Below are 13,719 nucleotides of genomic sequence, written 5' to 3'. Positions count from 1 at the left end.
ATTCAATTTGGTGTTGAAGAGTGAATTTATTTTGTTCTATGGAGAGAGTTTTGGCACTTCTGACTGATGCTATGATTTAAAAACATTTATTTTAGTTGTGTTACTGGTAATATATTGCTTGACAATGTCCTTCTTGCTAAGATAGTATATCAGATAAAGTGCCTTTTAATTTTTCTGGAAATGTAAAACTTCTCTATTTGATAACCATTAGTTTATAAGAGGTTCTTTGCTTATGTCAGTTTGACCAAATGCCAAGTAATTTTAAAAAACAAGTGGACAGAAAACCCTGACAATCAACAAAGAAATCTGCTAAAAAAAATAAACAAAATAAAAAGTCAAAAGCCAGTTTTCATTAAAAAGTATTCAGATGTCTGTTTTCATGTCTAGCCTAAGTTATTACATATTTTATTATTGCGATTCTATTTGCCTGTTAAGCAAGAAATGTGCAAACATGTTATTTATTCGTGCCATTGAAACTTAATTATTTTCAGCTTTGCTTTCTATACAATATTTTCTTCGACTTCAGTGTTTCATTTAAGACTTTTTTATTTTCCATTTTGGACATTTATTGTGGTATTCTTTTTTTGAGGTAGTATGAGAGAAGAAGAACTTTTCTAAAAGAGCATAAAAAATGTTAAGACTGTTTACAGATTGCTTCAAGTTCCGTGTTACTTGTGGATTACAAAGTGGGAACATTGAACTTCAAAGCACATCTGGCTGCTGTTACAAAATCAGAAAATAGATTGCTTATTTCCCCCAAATAGACTCAAGAACATGCTTTACCATGAATAATTCCCATTGCATATTAAAATTGGTTATGAGACAAACTCAGTGTATTGTAAATGAATAACAACATAATTCACTGTTGTTTACAGTGTTCATTGTTGCTTTAAAAAATTAGAATAGACATTTTCTATTTATTTGTCAACTTGAGAAAGGAAATTTATGATGCTAGAATGAGTCTTTAACTTCTTTATTTAATGGCTTTTAAAGATGAAGAGGTTGAAATAGGAGTTACTTCTGCATAGTTGAAATGCTGCATTGTAATTAGCTGAACCAATATTTTGTACCCTGCTTGTAAATGTAGAGCTGAATAAAAATAAATCACAGATGGTTTTCTTGGCTTTTGGTTTTAAATTTTAAACTTAATTAGTGCTTGAGCATCTTTGGAAATTCCTGTTTCCTCTTTATTTTTTCCTTTATATTTTGATTCTGCTTCATGAGTTGGGTTTTGTATATTTGCAGAATTGCATGTATCTTTGAAGAACTTACTTCCTATGCTGCTTTATACAAAACCCTGCAACATTCCAAAAATAAATTATTACCTAATATATGTATATATACACATACATGTATACATATGTATATGTATATATGACGATGCATATTTATACCTTCAGCTGGTACATATTTAATTGCATGTACTTTGCTGCCTGCTGGACATTTGCTGCCTCTATTTTTCAAGTTGCAGTGTGTATATGGCACTGGGCTACTTATTTTTATTTTATTTTATTTATTTACTTTTTTTTGAGACGGAGTTTCGCTCTTGTTACCCAGGCTGGAGTGCAATGGTGTGATCTCAGCTCACTGCAACGTCTACCTCCCAGGTTCAAGTGATTCTCCTGCCTCAGCCTCCTGAGTAGCTGGGATTATGAGACAGGGTTTCACTCTGGCACCCAGGCTGGAGTGCAATGACATGATCTTGGCTCACTGAAACCTCCGCTTCTCGGGTTCAAGCGATTCTCCTGCCTCAGCCTCTGAAGTAGCTAGGATTACAGGTGTGCACCACCATGCTCTGCTGATTTTTTTATATTTTTAGTAGAGACAGGGTTTTGCCATGTTGGCCTTGCTGGTCTCGAACGCCTGACCTCGAGTGATCCACCTGCCTCGGCCTCCCAAAGTGCTGAGATTACAGGCGTGAGCCACCATGCCTGGCTGGCACTGTGTTATTTACTGAAGAATATGCGCATTTCTCTGGTACCATGTTGAGGTAGATTGTATTATTATCTTAATAATTGTTTCCCTGAGTAAAAGTACCAATTCATGTACCCACTAGTAGTGTTTCACATCTTGAACATTTTTATTGTAAATTTTTAATTTATGCCAATCTATAAAATTGTAAAATATCACCGCATTGTGATATTACTTTATATTTTTTATATTTCTAAGTATATTGACCATATTTTATATGTTTATGAGCCATTCATAATTCCTCATCAGTGAAATGTGCCCCAAGTTTTTTTCCTCAATTTTCTCAAGTGTATTGACATCTTTTTTTCATTGTTTTTTTAATTTTTTTATTTTTTTGAGACAAAGTCTCACTCTCATCCCCCAGGCTGGAGTGCGATGGCCCCATCTTGGCTCACTGCAACCTCCGCCTCCCGAGTTCAAGTGATTCTCCTGCCTCAGCCTCCCGAGTAGCTGGGACTACAGGTGCCTGCCACCATGCCTGGCTAATTTTTGTATTTTCGGTAGAGATGGGGTTTTACCATGTTGGCCAGGCTGGTCTCAAGCTCCTGACCTCAGGTGATCTGCCCGCCTCAGCCTCCCAAAGTGCTGGGATTACAGGTGTGAGCCACCGCACCCGGCCTTTTCATTGATTTTTAAAGGCCTTGTTTACACATTTTGGAGACTAATCATTTGTGCAAACATCTCTCAGTTTATGACTTGTTTTTATCATTTTCTTGATGATGTATTTTTTGGAGAAGTTCTTAAAATGGTCAAGTTTATTAATTTCTCTCTTACTGATGCTTTTTTAAAACATTTATTTTAGGTTTGGGGGTACCTGTGAAGGTTTGCTACATAGGTAAACACATGTCATCACCCAGGTATTATGCCCAGTACCCAATAGTTCCCTTTTCTCTCTTCTCCCTCCTCCCACCCTCCCCTCTCAAGTAGACTCCAGTGTCCGTTGTTTCTTTCTCAGTGTTCTTATGTTCTTGTCATTTAGCTCTCACTTATAAGTGAGAACATACAATATTTGGTTTTCTGTTCCTGTGTTTTTAATAGTTTGCTAAGTGTAATAGCCTCTAGCTCCATTCATGTTCTTGCAAAAGAAATGATCTCATCCTTTTTTATCACTGCATAGTATTCCGTGGGTATATGTACAGTATTTTCTTTATCCAATCCGTCATTGGTGGGCATTTAGGTTGATTCGATGTCTTTGCTATTGTGAATAGTACTGCAATGAACATTCGCGTGTGTCTCTACTGTAGAATGATTTATATTCCTCTGGGTATATATGCAGTAATGGGGTTGCTGGGTCAAATGGTAATTCTGCTTTTAGCTGTTTGAGCAATGGCCATACTGCTTTCCACAATGGTTGAACTAATTTGCATTCCTATCAACAGCGTATAAGTGTTCTCTTCTCCACAACCTTGCCAGCATCTGTTATTTTTTGATTTTGTTTATAGTAGCCATTCTGACTGGTGTGAGATTTTATCTCATTGTGGTTCTGATTTGCATTTCTCTAATGATCAGTGATATTGAGCTTTTTTTTCCGTATGCTTGTTGGCCACGTGTATGTCTTCTTTTGAGAAGTGTCTGTTCATGTCCTTTGCTCACTTTTTAATGGGCTTGTTTTTATCTTGTAAATTTGTTTAAGTTCCTTATTGATGCGGGATATTAGACCCTAGTCAGATGCAAACATTTTCTCCCATTCTGTAGGTTGTCTGTTTACTCTCTTGATAGTTTCTTTTGCTGTGCAGATGTGCAGAAGCTCTTAAGTTTAACTAGATCCCACTTGTCAATTTTTGCTTTTGTTGCAATTGCTTTTGGTGTCTTTGTCATAAAATCTTTGCTAGGACTATGTCCAGGATGTATTGCCTAGGTTCTCTTCCAGGGTTTTTATAGTTTTGGGTTTTACATTTAAGTCTTTAATCCATCTTGAGTTGATTTTTTGTATTTATGCTTTTTTTTTTTTCATTTCTTGTTTGGCAAATCTTTTCTAGATTGAGGCCATAACATCATTCTTCTAAATTGTCTTCTGAAAGTTTTTGTAGTTCTGCTTTTAATATAAGATCGAATCCATTGGGAATTTATTATATATGGTGTGAGGAAGTGATCTGATTTTATATTCTTCTATTTATTGAACATTCCCTTCTTTTCTCAAAAATTGGCAATGCTAGACCTTTCACAAATCACATTATCAAATAAGTATACTTGAGTTTCTTTCTGCCAATTTCCAGTTGGTTCAATTGGTTTGTCTACATTACTATAGTTTTATTGTATCTTTTCTTTTCTTTTTTTTTCTTTTTTTTTTCTTTTTTGAGCTAGAGTCTCATTTCATTGCCAGGCTGGAATGCAGTGGCGCAATCTCTGCTCACTGCATCCTCCGCCTCCCAGGTTCAAGTGATTCTCCTGCCTTAGCCTCCCGAGTAGCTGGGAGTACAGATGTGTACAACCACGCCTGGCTAACTTTTTGTTTTTTTGTTTTGTTTTGAGACGGAGTCTTGCTCGTCACCCAGGCTGGAGTGCAGTGGCACAATCTTGGCTCACTGCAAGCTCCGCCTCCTGGGTTCACACCATTCTCCTGCCTCAGCCTCCTGAGTAGATGGGACTACAGGTGTCTGCCACCACACCAGGCAAATTTTTTGTATTTTTAGTAGAGATGGGGTTTTACCGTGTTAGCCAGGATGGTCACGATCTCCTGACCTCATGATCTGCTCGCCTCAGCCTCCCAAAGTGCTGGGATTACAGGCGTGAGCCAACATGCCCGGATGGTTTTATTATATCTTTATAAATTGCCAATTGCCCCACCTTGATTTTTTTCATCAGGCATGTCTTGACTACTTTTGCCCTGTTTTTGTTTATATACATTTTGTAAGGTCATTATAAGTTTTACAAAAACCCTGTTGAAATTCTGGTTTGGATCACATTTAATTGCTAGATCAACTTAAGAATTGACATTTTTTGCAACATCGAGACTGTCCAAAATGGATTCTACTCTCTATTTTTTTTTCAGTCTTTAGCCCTAATCTTTTGATGAAGCTTATTTGCTCTATAAAGGTCTAGGGTATCATTTTGTCAGTTTATCTAGGAATTATGCAGTATATTAGAAATTATATCTTTGTAAACTCTTCTCCTAGATGATTTTTACTCATTTCAGAAATGCAGTTGATTTTTTTTTTATTATTATACTTTAAGTTTTAGGGTACATGTTAAATGTAAAAAAAATTTAAATTTGTATGGGAGCATAGTAGGTATGTATATTTATGAGGTAAATGAGATATTTTGATAACAGGCATATGATACATAATAATGACATCAGGATAAATGGGTATCTGTCATCTCAAACATCGATCCTTCATTTGTGTTACAAACAATCCAATTACACTCTTATAGTTATTTAAAAATGTTCAATAAATTATTCTTGACTGTATCACCCTATTGTGCTATCAAATACTAGGTCTTATTCATTCTCTCTAACGATATTTTTGTACCCATTAACCATCCCCACTTTCCCCAACCCCCTCTATCCTTCCCAACCTCTGTGAACCATCATCCTACTGTCGATCTGCAGAGTTCAACTGTTTTAATTTTTAACTCCCACAAATAATTGAGAACATGTCAAGTTTGTCTTTCTGTTCCTGGCTTATTTTGCAGAACTTAATGATCTCCAGTTCCATCCAGGTTTTTGCAAATGACAGGATCTCATTCTTTTTTATGGCTGAATAGTACTGCATTACGTGTAAGTAACACATTTTCTTTTTCCATTCATCTGTTGATGGATACTTAGCGTGCTTCCAGATCTTCACTATTGTGAACAGTGCTACAACAAAGATGGGCATGCAGATATCTCTTTGATACACTAATTTCCTTTCTTTTGGGTATATACCTAGCAGTGGGATTGCTGGATCATATGTTAATTCTATTTTTAATTTTTTGAGGAATCTCTACCCTGTTTTCCATAGTGGCTGTACTAATTTGCATTCCTATTAACACTGTACAAAGGTTTCATTTTCTCCACATCCTTGTTAGCATTTATTATTGCCTGTCTTTTGGATAGAAGCCATTTTAACTGGGGTGAGATGATATCTCATTGTAGTTTTGACTTGCATTTATCTGATGATCAGTAATGTTAAACATCTTGTCATATGTCTGTTTGACATTTATATGTCTTCTTTTAAGACATGTCTATTCAGATCTTTTGCCCATTTTCAAGTCGGATTATTGGTTTTTTTCCTATAGAGTTGTTTGAGCTCCTTTGCAAATATTTTCTCCCATTCTGTGGGTTGTCTCTTCATTTTTTGTGATTGTTTCCTTGGTTGTGCAGAAGCTTTTTGACATGACAAGATCCCATTTGTTTATTTTTGCTTTGGTTGCCTGTGCTTGTGGGGTAATTGCTGAAGAAATCTTTGCCCACTCCAATGTCCTGGAGAGTTTCCCCAGTGTTTTCTTTTAGTAGTTTCCTAGTTTGAGGTCTTAGATTTAAGTTTTTCCTACATTTTTATTTGATTTTTATGTATGACAAGGGATAGGGCTCTAATTTCATTGTTTTGCATGTGGATATCCAGCTTTCCCAGCATCATTTATTGAGGAGAGTATCCTTTCCCCAGCATATGTATTCTTGTGATCTTTGTCAAAAATAAGTTCACTGTAAATATATGGATTGACTTCTGGGTTCTCTATCCTACTCCATTGGTGTGTGTGTCTGTTTTTATGCCACTACCATGCTGTTTTGGTTACTGTAGCTTTGTACTATAGTTTGAAGTCAGGTGATGTGATTACTCCAGTTTTATTCTTTTTGCTCAGGATAGCTTTGGCTATTCTCAGTCTTTTTTTGGTTCCATATAAATGTTAGTATTATTTTTTTCTATTTTTGTGAAGAATGTTGTTGGTATTTTTACAGTAATTGCATTGACTCTGTAGATTGCTTTGGGTAGTATGGACATTTTAACAATTTTGATTCTTCCAATCCATGCACATGGAATATCTTTTCATTTTTTTGTGTCTTCTTCAAATTCTTGCATTAGTGTTTTATAGTTTTTGTTGTACTGATCTTTCACTCTTTTATTTAAGTTAATTTCTAGGTGTTTTATTTTATTTGTATCTATTGTAAATGGAATTAATTTGTTGATTTCTTTTTCAGGTTGTTTGCAGTTGGCATATAGAAATGCTATTAATTTTTGTATGTTGATCTTGTGTTCTGCAACTTTACTGAATTTGTTTGTCAGTTCTTATAGTTTTTTGTTGTAGTCTTTAAGTTTTTTTAAGATATAAGATTATATAATCTGCAGACAAGCATAATTTGACTTCTTCCTTTCCAATTTGCATGCCCTGTATTTCTTCCTCTTGTCTGATTGCTCTAGCTAGGACTTTCGGTACTATGTTGAATAACAGTAATGAAAGTGGGCATCTTGTCATATTCCAGATCTTATAGGAAAGGCTTTCAGTTTTTCCTGTTCAATATAGATATGAGCTGTGGGTCTGTTGTATATGACTTTTGTTGTACTGAAGTATGTTTCTTCTTTCCCAGAATTTTCAAGGTTTTTATCATGAAGGGACGCTGAATTTTATTAAATGCTTTTTCAGCATCAATTGAAATGTTCATACAGTTTTTGCCCTTCATTGTGTTGTTATGATTTATCACATGGATTGATTTGCCTATATTGAACCATCCTTACATCCTGGGGATAAATCCTACTTGGTCATGATGAATGATTTTTTTTTATGTGTTGTTGAATTCAGTATACTAGTATTTTGTTGAAGATTTTTGCATCAATGTTCATCAGTCATATTGGCCTGTAGTTTTCTTTTTTTGGTGTGTCTTTGTCTGGTTTTGGTATCAGGGTAATACTAGCCTTGAGAATGAGTTAGGAAATATTCCTTCCTCCTCTGTTTTTTGGAATAGTTTGAGTAGGATTGATATTAGTTCTTTTTTAAATTTTCGATAAAATTCAGCAGTGAAGCCATTGGGTCCTAGGCTTTTCTTTGTTGGGAGATGTTTTTATTACAGCTTCAATCTCATTACTTGTTTTTGTTCTGGTCAGGTTTTAGATTTCTTCCTTATTCACTCTTGGTAGGTTGTATGTGTCTAGGAATTTATACATTTCTTTTCAGTTTTCAAATTTATTAGCATATAGTTGCTCATAGTAGCGTCTAATGATTTTTTGATTTCTGCCATATCAGTTGTAATGTCTCTTTTTCATCTCTGATTTTATTTATTTGAATCTTCTCTCTTTTTTTCCTACTTCATCTGGTTGAAGGCTTGTTGATTTGATCTCTTGAAGAAACTTTTTGTTTTGTTGATTTTTTGTGTGTTTTTTAAATTTTCATTTCATTTATTTCTGCTCTGATCTTTATTATTTCTGTTCTACTAATTTTGGGGTTGGTTTGCTCTAGCTTTTCTAATTCTTTAAGATGTATCATTAGGTTGTTTATTTGAAGTTTTTCTACCTTTTTCATATTGATAATTCTTGCTATAAACTTTCCTCTTACTACTGCTTTTACTGTATCCCATAGATTTTGGTATGTTGTATTTTCATTTTTATTTGTTTCAAGAAAATTTTCCTTCTTTATTTCCTTCTTTATTTCTTTATTGACCCATGGGTCATTCAGGAGCATATTTAATTTCCATGTGTTTGTATAGTTTTCAAAATTCTTCCTGTTATTGATTTCTAGTTTTATTACCTCGTGGTCAGAGGTAATAAAACTTGATGCAATTTAAATTCAAAAAAGTTTTTAAAGACTTATTTTGTGGCCTAACATACAGTCTGTCCTTGTGGATAATCCATATGTGGATGAGAAGAATGTTTACATCCTTTGGATGAAATGTTCTGTAAATAGTTATTAGGCTCATTTTTTTGAGATGGGGTCTGGCTCTGTTACCCAGGCTGGAGTGCAGTGGCATGATCTTGGCTACTGCAACCTCTGACTCCTGGATTCAAACCATCCTCCCACCTCAGCCTCCCAAGTAGCTGAGACTACAGGTGCACGCTACAATGCCCAGCTAATTTTTGGAATTTTTGTGAAGACGGGGTTTTACAATGTTACCCAAGCTGGTCTTGAACTGCTGAGCTCAAGCAATCTGCCCACCGTGGCCTCCCAAAGTGCTGGGATTACAGGCATGAGCCACTGTGCCTGGCCCAGGTGTGTTTTCATTAAGCTACTGTATGTCTTTTGATTGGAGAGTTTAGTTCATTTAAATTGAATGTTATTATTGATAAGTAAGGACTTACTCCTGCCATTTTATTAGTTGTTTTCCGGTTGTTTTGTGGTCTTCTCTTCCTTTTTCCTTCCTTCCTGTCTTCCTTTTAGTGAAAGCCATTTACTCACGTGGTATGTTTTAATTTCTTGGTTTTTATTTTTTGTGCATTTGTTGTAGGTTTTTTGGTTTGAGGTTAGCATGAAATGTGCATGTAATTTAACGCATTATATTAAACTGCTGATCATTTAACACTGATTGCATAAACAAGCAAAGAGAAAACTAATAAAAACTCTACACTTCAGCTTCATCCCCCCACTTTTTAACTTTTTGTTGTTTCTATCTTATTACACTATGTCTTGAAAAATTGTTACAGTTATTATTTTTGAGTGGTTCATCTTTTAGTGTTTCTACTTCAGATATGAGTAGTTTATACACCACAATTACAGTGTTATAATAGTAATATACTTACTTTACTAAGTATAATACTTACTATAACCAGTGACCTTTATACCTTTAGATGATTCATTATTGCACATTAATGTCCTTTCCTTTCGGATCAAAGAAATTCCTTTAGCATTTCTTGTAGGATAGGTCTGGTGTTGATCAAATCCCTCAAGGTTATTTTTGCTGGGTATACTATTCCAGGATAAAAGCATTTCTTCCTCAGCACTTTAAATATGTCATGCCCCTCTCTTTTGGCCTGTTACATTTCCACTGAGAAGTCTGCTGCCAGAAATGCCTACCAGGACCCAAGGCCTGGAATTGGTGACCCCAGGAGCCTGCTTGGTGCTCTTCCCTACTATGGCCAAATTGGTATCCAAAGGTGAAAGACAATGTTCCCTTTTGTCTTCCCTCTCCCTTCCTCAAGCTGAGGGGATTTCTTCCCCTAGACACCACATCTGGGAATGTGCGGGATCATTCTTGAAGCTAGCATGACACTAAGTCTTACCCCAGGCCCACGCAAGTACTGCCTAGCTGTCACTGCTGAGCATTCAGAGACCAAGGGCTCTTTAGTCAGCAGATGATGAATTCTGCCAGGAGTGGGTCCTTTCTTTCAAGGTAGTCGGTTCCCCTCTGACCCAGTGTGTGTTTAGAAATGTTTGGGAGCTAGGCCCTGGACTGGGGGCCTTGGGACTCTGCCTGGTGCCATAGTCTACTGTGGCTGAGCTGGTATCCAAGTTGCAAGACAAAATTCTTTTTACTCATCCCTCTCCTCTCTTCAGGCAGAGTGAAGGAGTCTCTCTCAGAGCTGCAAACTGTGTTGCCTGGGAGTGACACCAGCACTCTCTTGGCTACCCTGGCTGGTGTCTCACTATGTCACATGCACCCCCAAGCCCACTGGCTTTGAGCTCAGCACAGCATCAGAGATTGCCTAGGACTTGCAGTCCTTGTGACCTAGACTGCCTTTCAAGTTTATTTAGGACTCCAGTGCACTTTAGCCCATGGTGGTGGTGGAGTTCGCTAGAACTAAGGTTCCGACTGCTGGGATGAATGATTTGCCTCTGGCTAGGGTTGGTCTAAATGTTCCTCTGTGGGTGCAAGCTGAATTCTGCCTGCTGTTTCTTTCTGCTGTGACAGGGCAGCACTGAGTTTCAATGCAAAATCCCACAATCACTGTGCTCTTCCTTCCCCAAATACACAGATTCTCTCTTCATGCCATGTAGCCACTGCTGGGGGATAGGAGAAGGGTGATGCAGGTGATTTAAGACTGTCTTTCCTACCTTCTTTGGCATCTCATTCCTTAATATGCTAAAACCAGGTACTGTGATCACTCACCTGATTTTTTCTTCTTATGAAGGTGCTTTTTTATGTGAATAGTTGTTCAATTTGATGTTCATGCTGCGGGGAAAATTGCTAAAGGCTTCTATTTGAACATTTTGCTCTGCCTCTTTGATCGCAGTTGACTTTTATATGTTGGTTTGGCATCTGGCAACTTTGCCAAACTCTTATTAGTTCTATTATTTACTTGTTTATTTATTCATTTATAGAGTTCTATGTAAGTAGGTATCTGCAAATGATGAGGTGTTCTAGTTTTTACTTTCTAATCTTGTACCCTCTTCTTTCTTTCTATCCTCCTCCTTTTTCCTTTTCTTATCTTTTTTAAAAAAATGCTGTTTAGGATTCCACTACAGTGTTGAATAGGAGCATGTTCATAGTGGGTGGTACTCATTGTATCATTCCCAATCTTAAAGGGAATGCTTTCAGTTTTTCATGGTTTGTTTTTTTTTTTTGAGATGGAATTTCGCTCTTATTCACTCAGTGCAATGGCACTATCTCGGCCCACTGCAACCTTCACCTCCTGGGTTCAAGCAGTTCTCCTGCCTCAGCCTTCCGAGTAGCTGGGATTACAGGCGTACGCCACCATGCCTGGCTAATTTTTTGTATTTTTAGGAGAAACAGGGTTTCACCATGTTAGCCAGTCTGGTCTCGAACTGCTGACCTCAGGTGATCTGCCCAGCTCAGCCTCCCAAAGTGCTGGGATTACAGGCGTGAGCCACCACACCTGGCTAGTTTTTCATACTTGTAGTTTTTTCTTACTTATAGTTTTTTTGGTAGATTCCATTTATCAAATTAAAAATGTCTCTATTTTGTCAGGATATTTTTAAAAATCATGAATGGTTGTGGAATTTTTTAATTCTTTTTTTTTTTTTTTTGAGATGGAGTCTCGCTCTGTTACCCAGGCTGGAGTGCAGTGGGTTATCTCGGCTCAGTGCAAGCTCTGCCTCCCAGGTTCATGCCATTCTCCTGCCTCAGCCTCCCGAGTAGCTAGGACTACAGGTGCCCGCCACCACACCCGACTAATTTTTTTGTATTTTTGGTAGAGACGGGGTTTCACCATGTTAGCCAGGATGGTCTTGATCTCCTGACCTTGTGATCTGCCCACCTCGGCCTCCCAAAGTTCTGGGATTACAGGCGTGAGCCACCATGCCTGGCCTGAATTTTTCTTTATCTTTTGAGAGGATTATATAGTTTCTTCCTTTAATCTATTAATGTTATAAACTCCACAATATATTATTTTCATTATATTATGTTTTTGTTCATTTTCCTTTAAATAGTTATATATTGATTGAATGGATTGAAAATATAAAATTAAAAGCCTTATCTATTTATGCAACCATTTACCATTTATGGCCTATTTATTACTTTATGTAGAGTTTCCATCAGGTGTTATTTTCAGGTGTTTACAGTTCTTTTTCTCACAGCTTGTCATAAACGTCTCTCAAAGTACCTGGCACATGGTAGATGTTTAGTAAATAATTGTTGAAAGAATATGACATAACCCCAGGTGTGACACAAGAAATTATTTCTTTGAAGGATCTCTGATATTGTTTTCTAGTTACTTATGTACTCTCAGATTTTTTGTCTTCTCAAAACTACCATGCTTTTATCTATATAAGGTGGAAAAATAACTGTTGAGATGGTGAAACTTTTCTCAGCTTGATGTTTTTTAATCTACACAAAATAATTTTCACATTTTTCTTAAAAAATAGCCATCTCTTCTTTCTAAAATACATTTATAGCTTCTATCTAATAGCTTGTATTATTTTAAATTCCATGGTGATTTCATTTAGCTAGTCCGAAATAACCACTAAGTTTTTTGCAGTGTCTTTCCACAAAAACTCAGCATGATTGTTTTTTTTTCTCAGAATTAACATTATTTAAAAAGCATTTTTTTCCAGCATGTATTTAAACTATACAGTAATCAGAAACTGCCATTTAACTGGACTAATCAATAGTATTTGGTTTCCCAAAATCAAAATATAAGATAATTATCAATTAGGTTTATGCTATCTTGTTAAAGAAACCAGTTTTTTTTTTTACAATTTTTATGATGAAAATATTCAAGTAGAAAAAGAATAGTACAACAGTAACTTATTGCTGCTGCCTTTTAAATTTTGTGATTTTGCCTTATTGGAACTATTTGAAAGTAAATTGCAGATGTTATAATACTTAATCAGGAAGCATCAGTCTCTTGACTGAAGGTTCCTTGATTATCTTTTTTTTCCCTCTTGATTATCTTTTAACTAAGATAAAATGTTCATGCTCTAATAGAGTCTACTGAATGGACCTTGTGATACAGTATTTTCTGAATTCTTGCATGTTTCAAATGGTTTCTTATGGTCTTGATTCTTGGAGGAAATCTAGATTGTATGTAAAATATTTGATTTGCATTTTCTTTACCTGAGTTCCTTAAATACAATGTTTTATATGATGTATGTTACAGTTGAGAAGTGTGATACATACTTTTCATTTTTCATAAATATATAAATAAATAAAGTTATAAATGTCTAATCTTTTTGACTGAGGGTCCAGAGAATTTTTAAAAAATATTCGTAAAGTTTAATATTTGGACTTTTATATTATACTCTGAAAGATATTCGGCATATCACATCGGATTTTATTCAATATATTGTACAGTCATCTCTCAGTATCAAGAGTTGATTCATTCCAGAACATCCTCCTTCCTTCCCACAGATACCAAAATCAGCAAATGCTGATGTTCCTTAGATAAAGTAGTGCAGTATTTGTACATAACCTATGAATCATTAAATAATCTCTATATTACTTAT

At 35.9% G+C, this 13,719-nt stretch overlaps 1 protein-coding gene across 18 annotated transcripts in view, besides 1 other annotated feature; it reads left to right on the top strand.

Moving 5' to 3' along the window:
- The window catches only part of CEP112 (centrosomal protein 112), a 556,597-nt gene that overhangs the window by 77,535 nt on the left and 465,343 nt on the right, over positions 1-13,719 (top strand). The window lies entirely within an intron of this gene.
- Positions 3,370-3,907: an enhancer, noted in NCBI's record as "NANOG hESC enhancer chr17:64106810-64107347 (GRCh37/hg19 assembly coordinates)". NCBI's record gives its function as "activates a minimal SCP1, AML or CMV promoter by ChIP-STARR-seq in primed H9 embryonic stem cells {active_cell/tissue: H9 hESC(primed)}" and the evidence as "EXISTENCE:reporter gene assay evidence [ECO:0000049][PMID:30033119]".

Source organism: Homo sapiens, chromosome 17 (genome assembly GCF_000001405.40).
Source record: "Homo sapiens chromosome 17, GRCh38.p14 Primary Assembly".
In the NCBI taxonomy this organism is placed as follows: Eukaryota; Metazoa; Chordata; class Mammalia; order Primates; family Hominidae; genus Homo; species Homo sapiens.
This window is presented reverse-complemented; position numbering and strand designations above follow the sequence as displayed.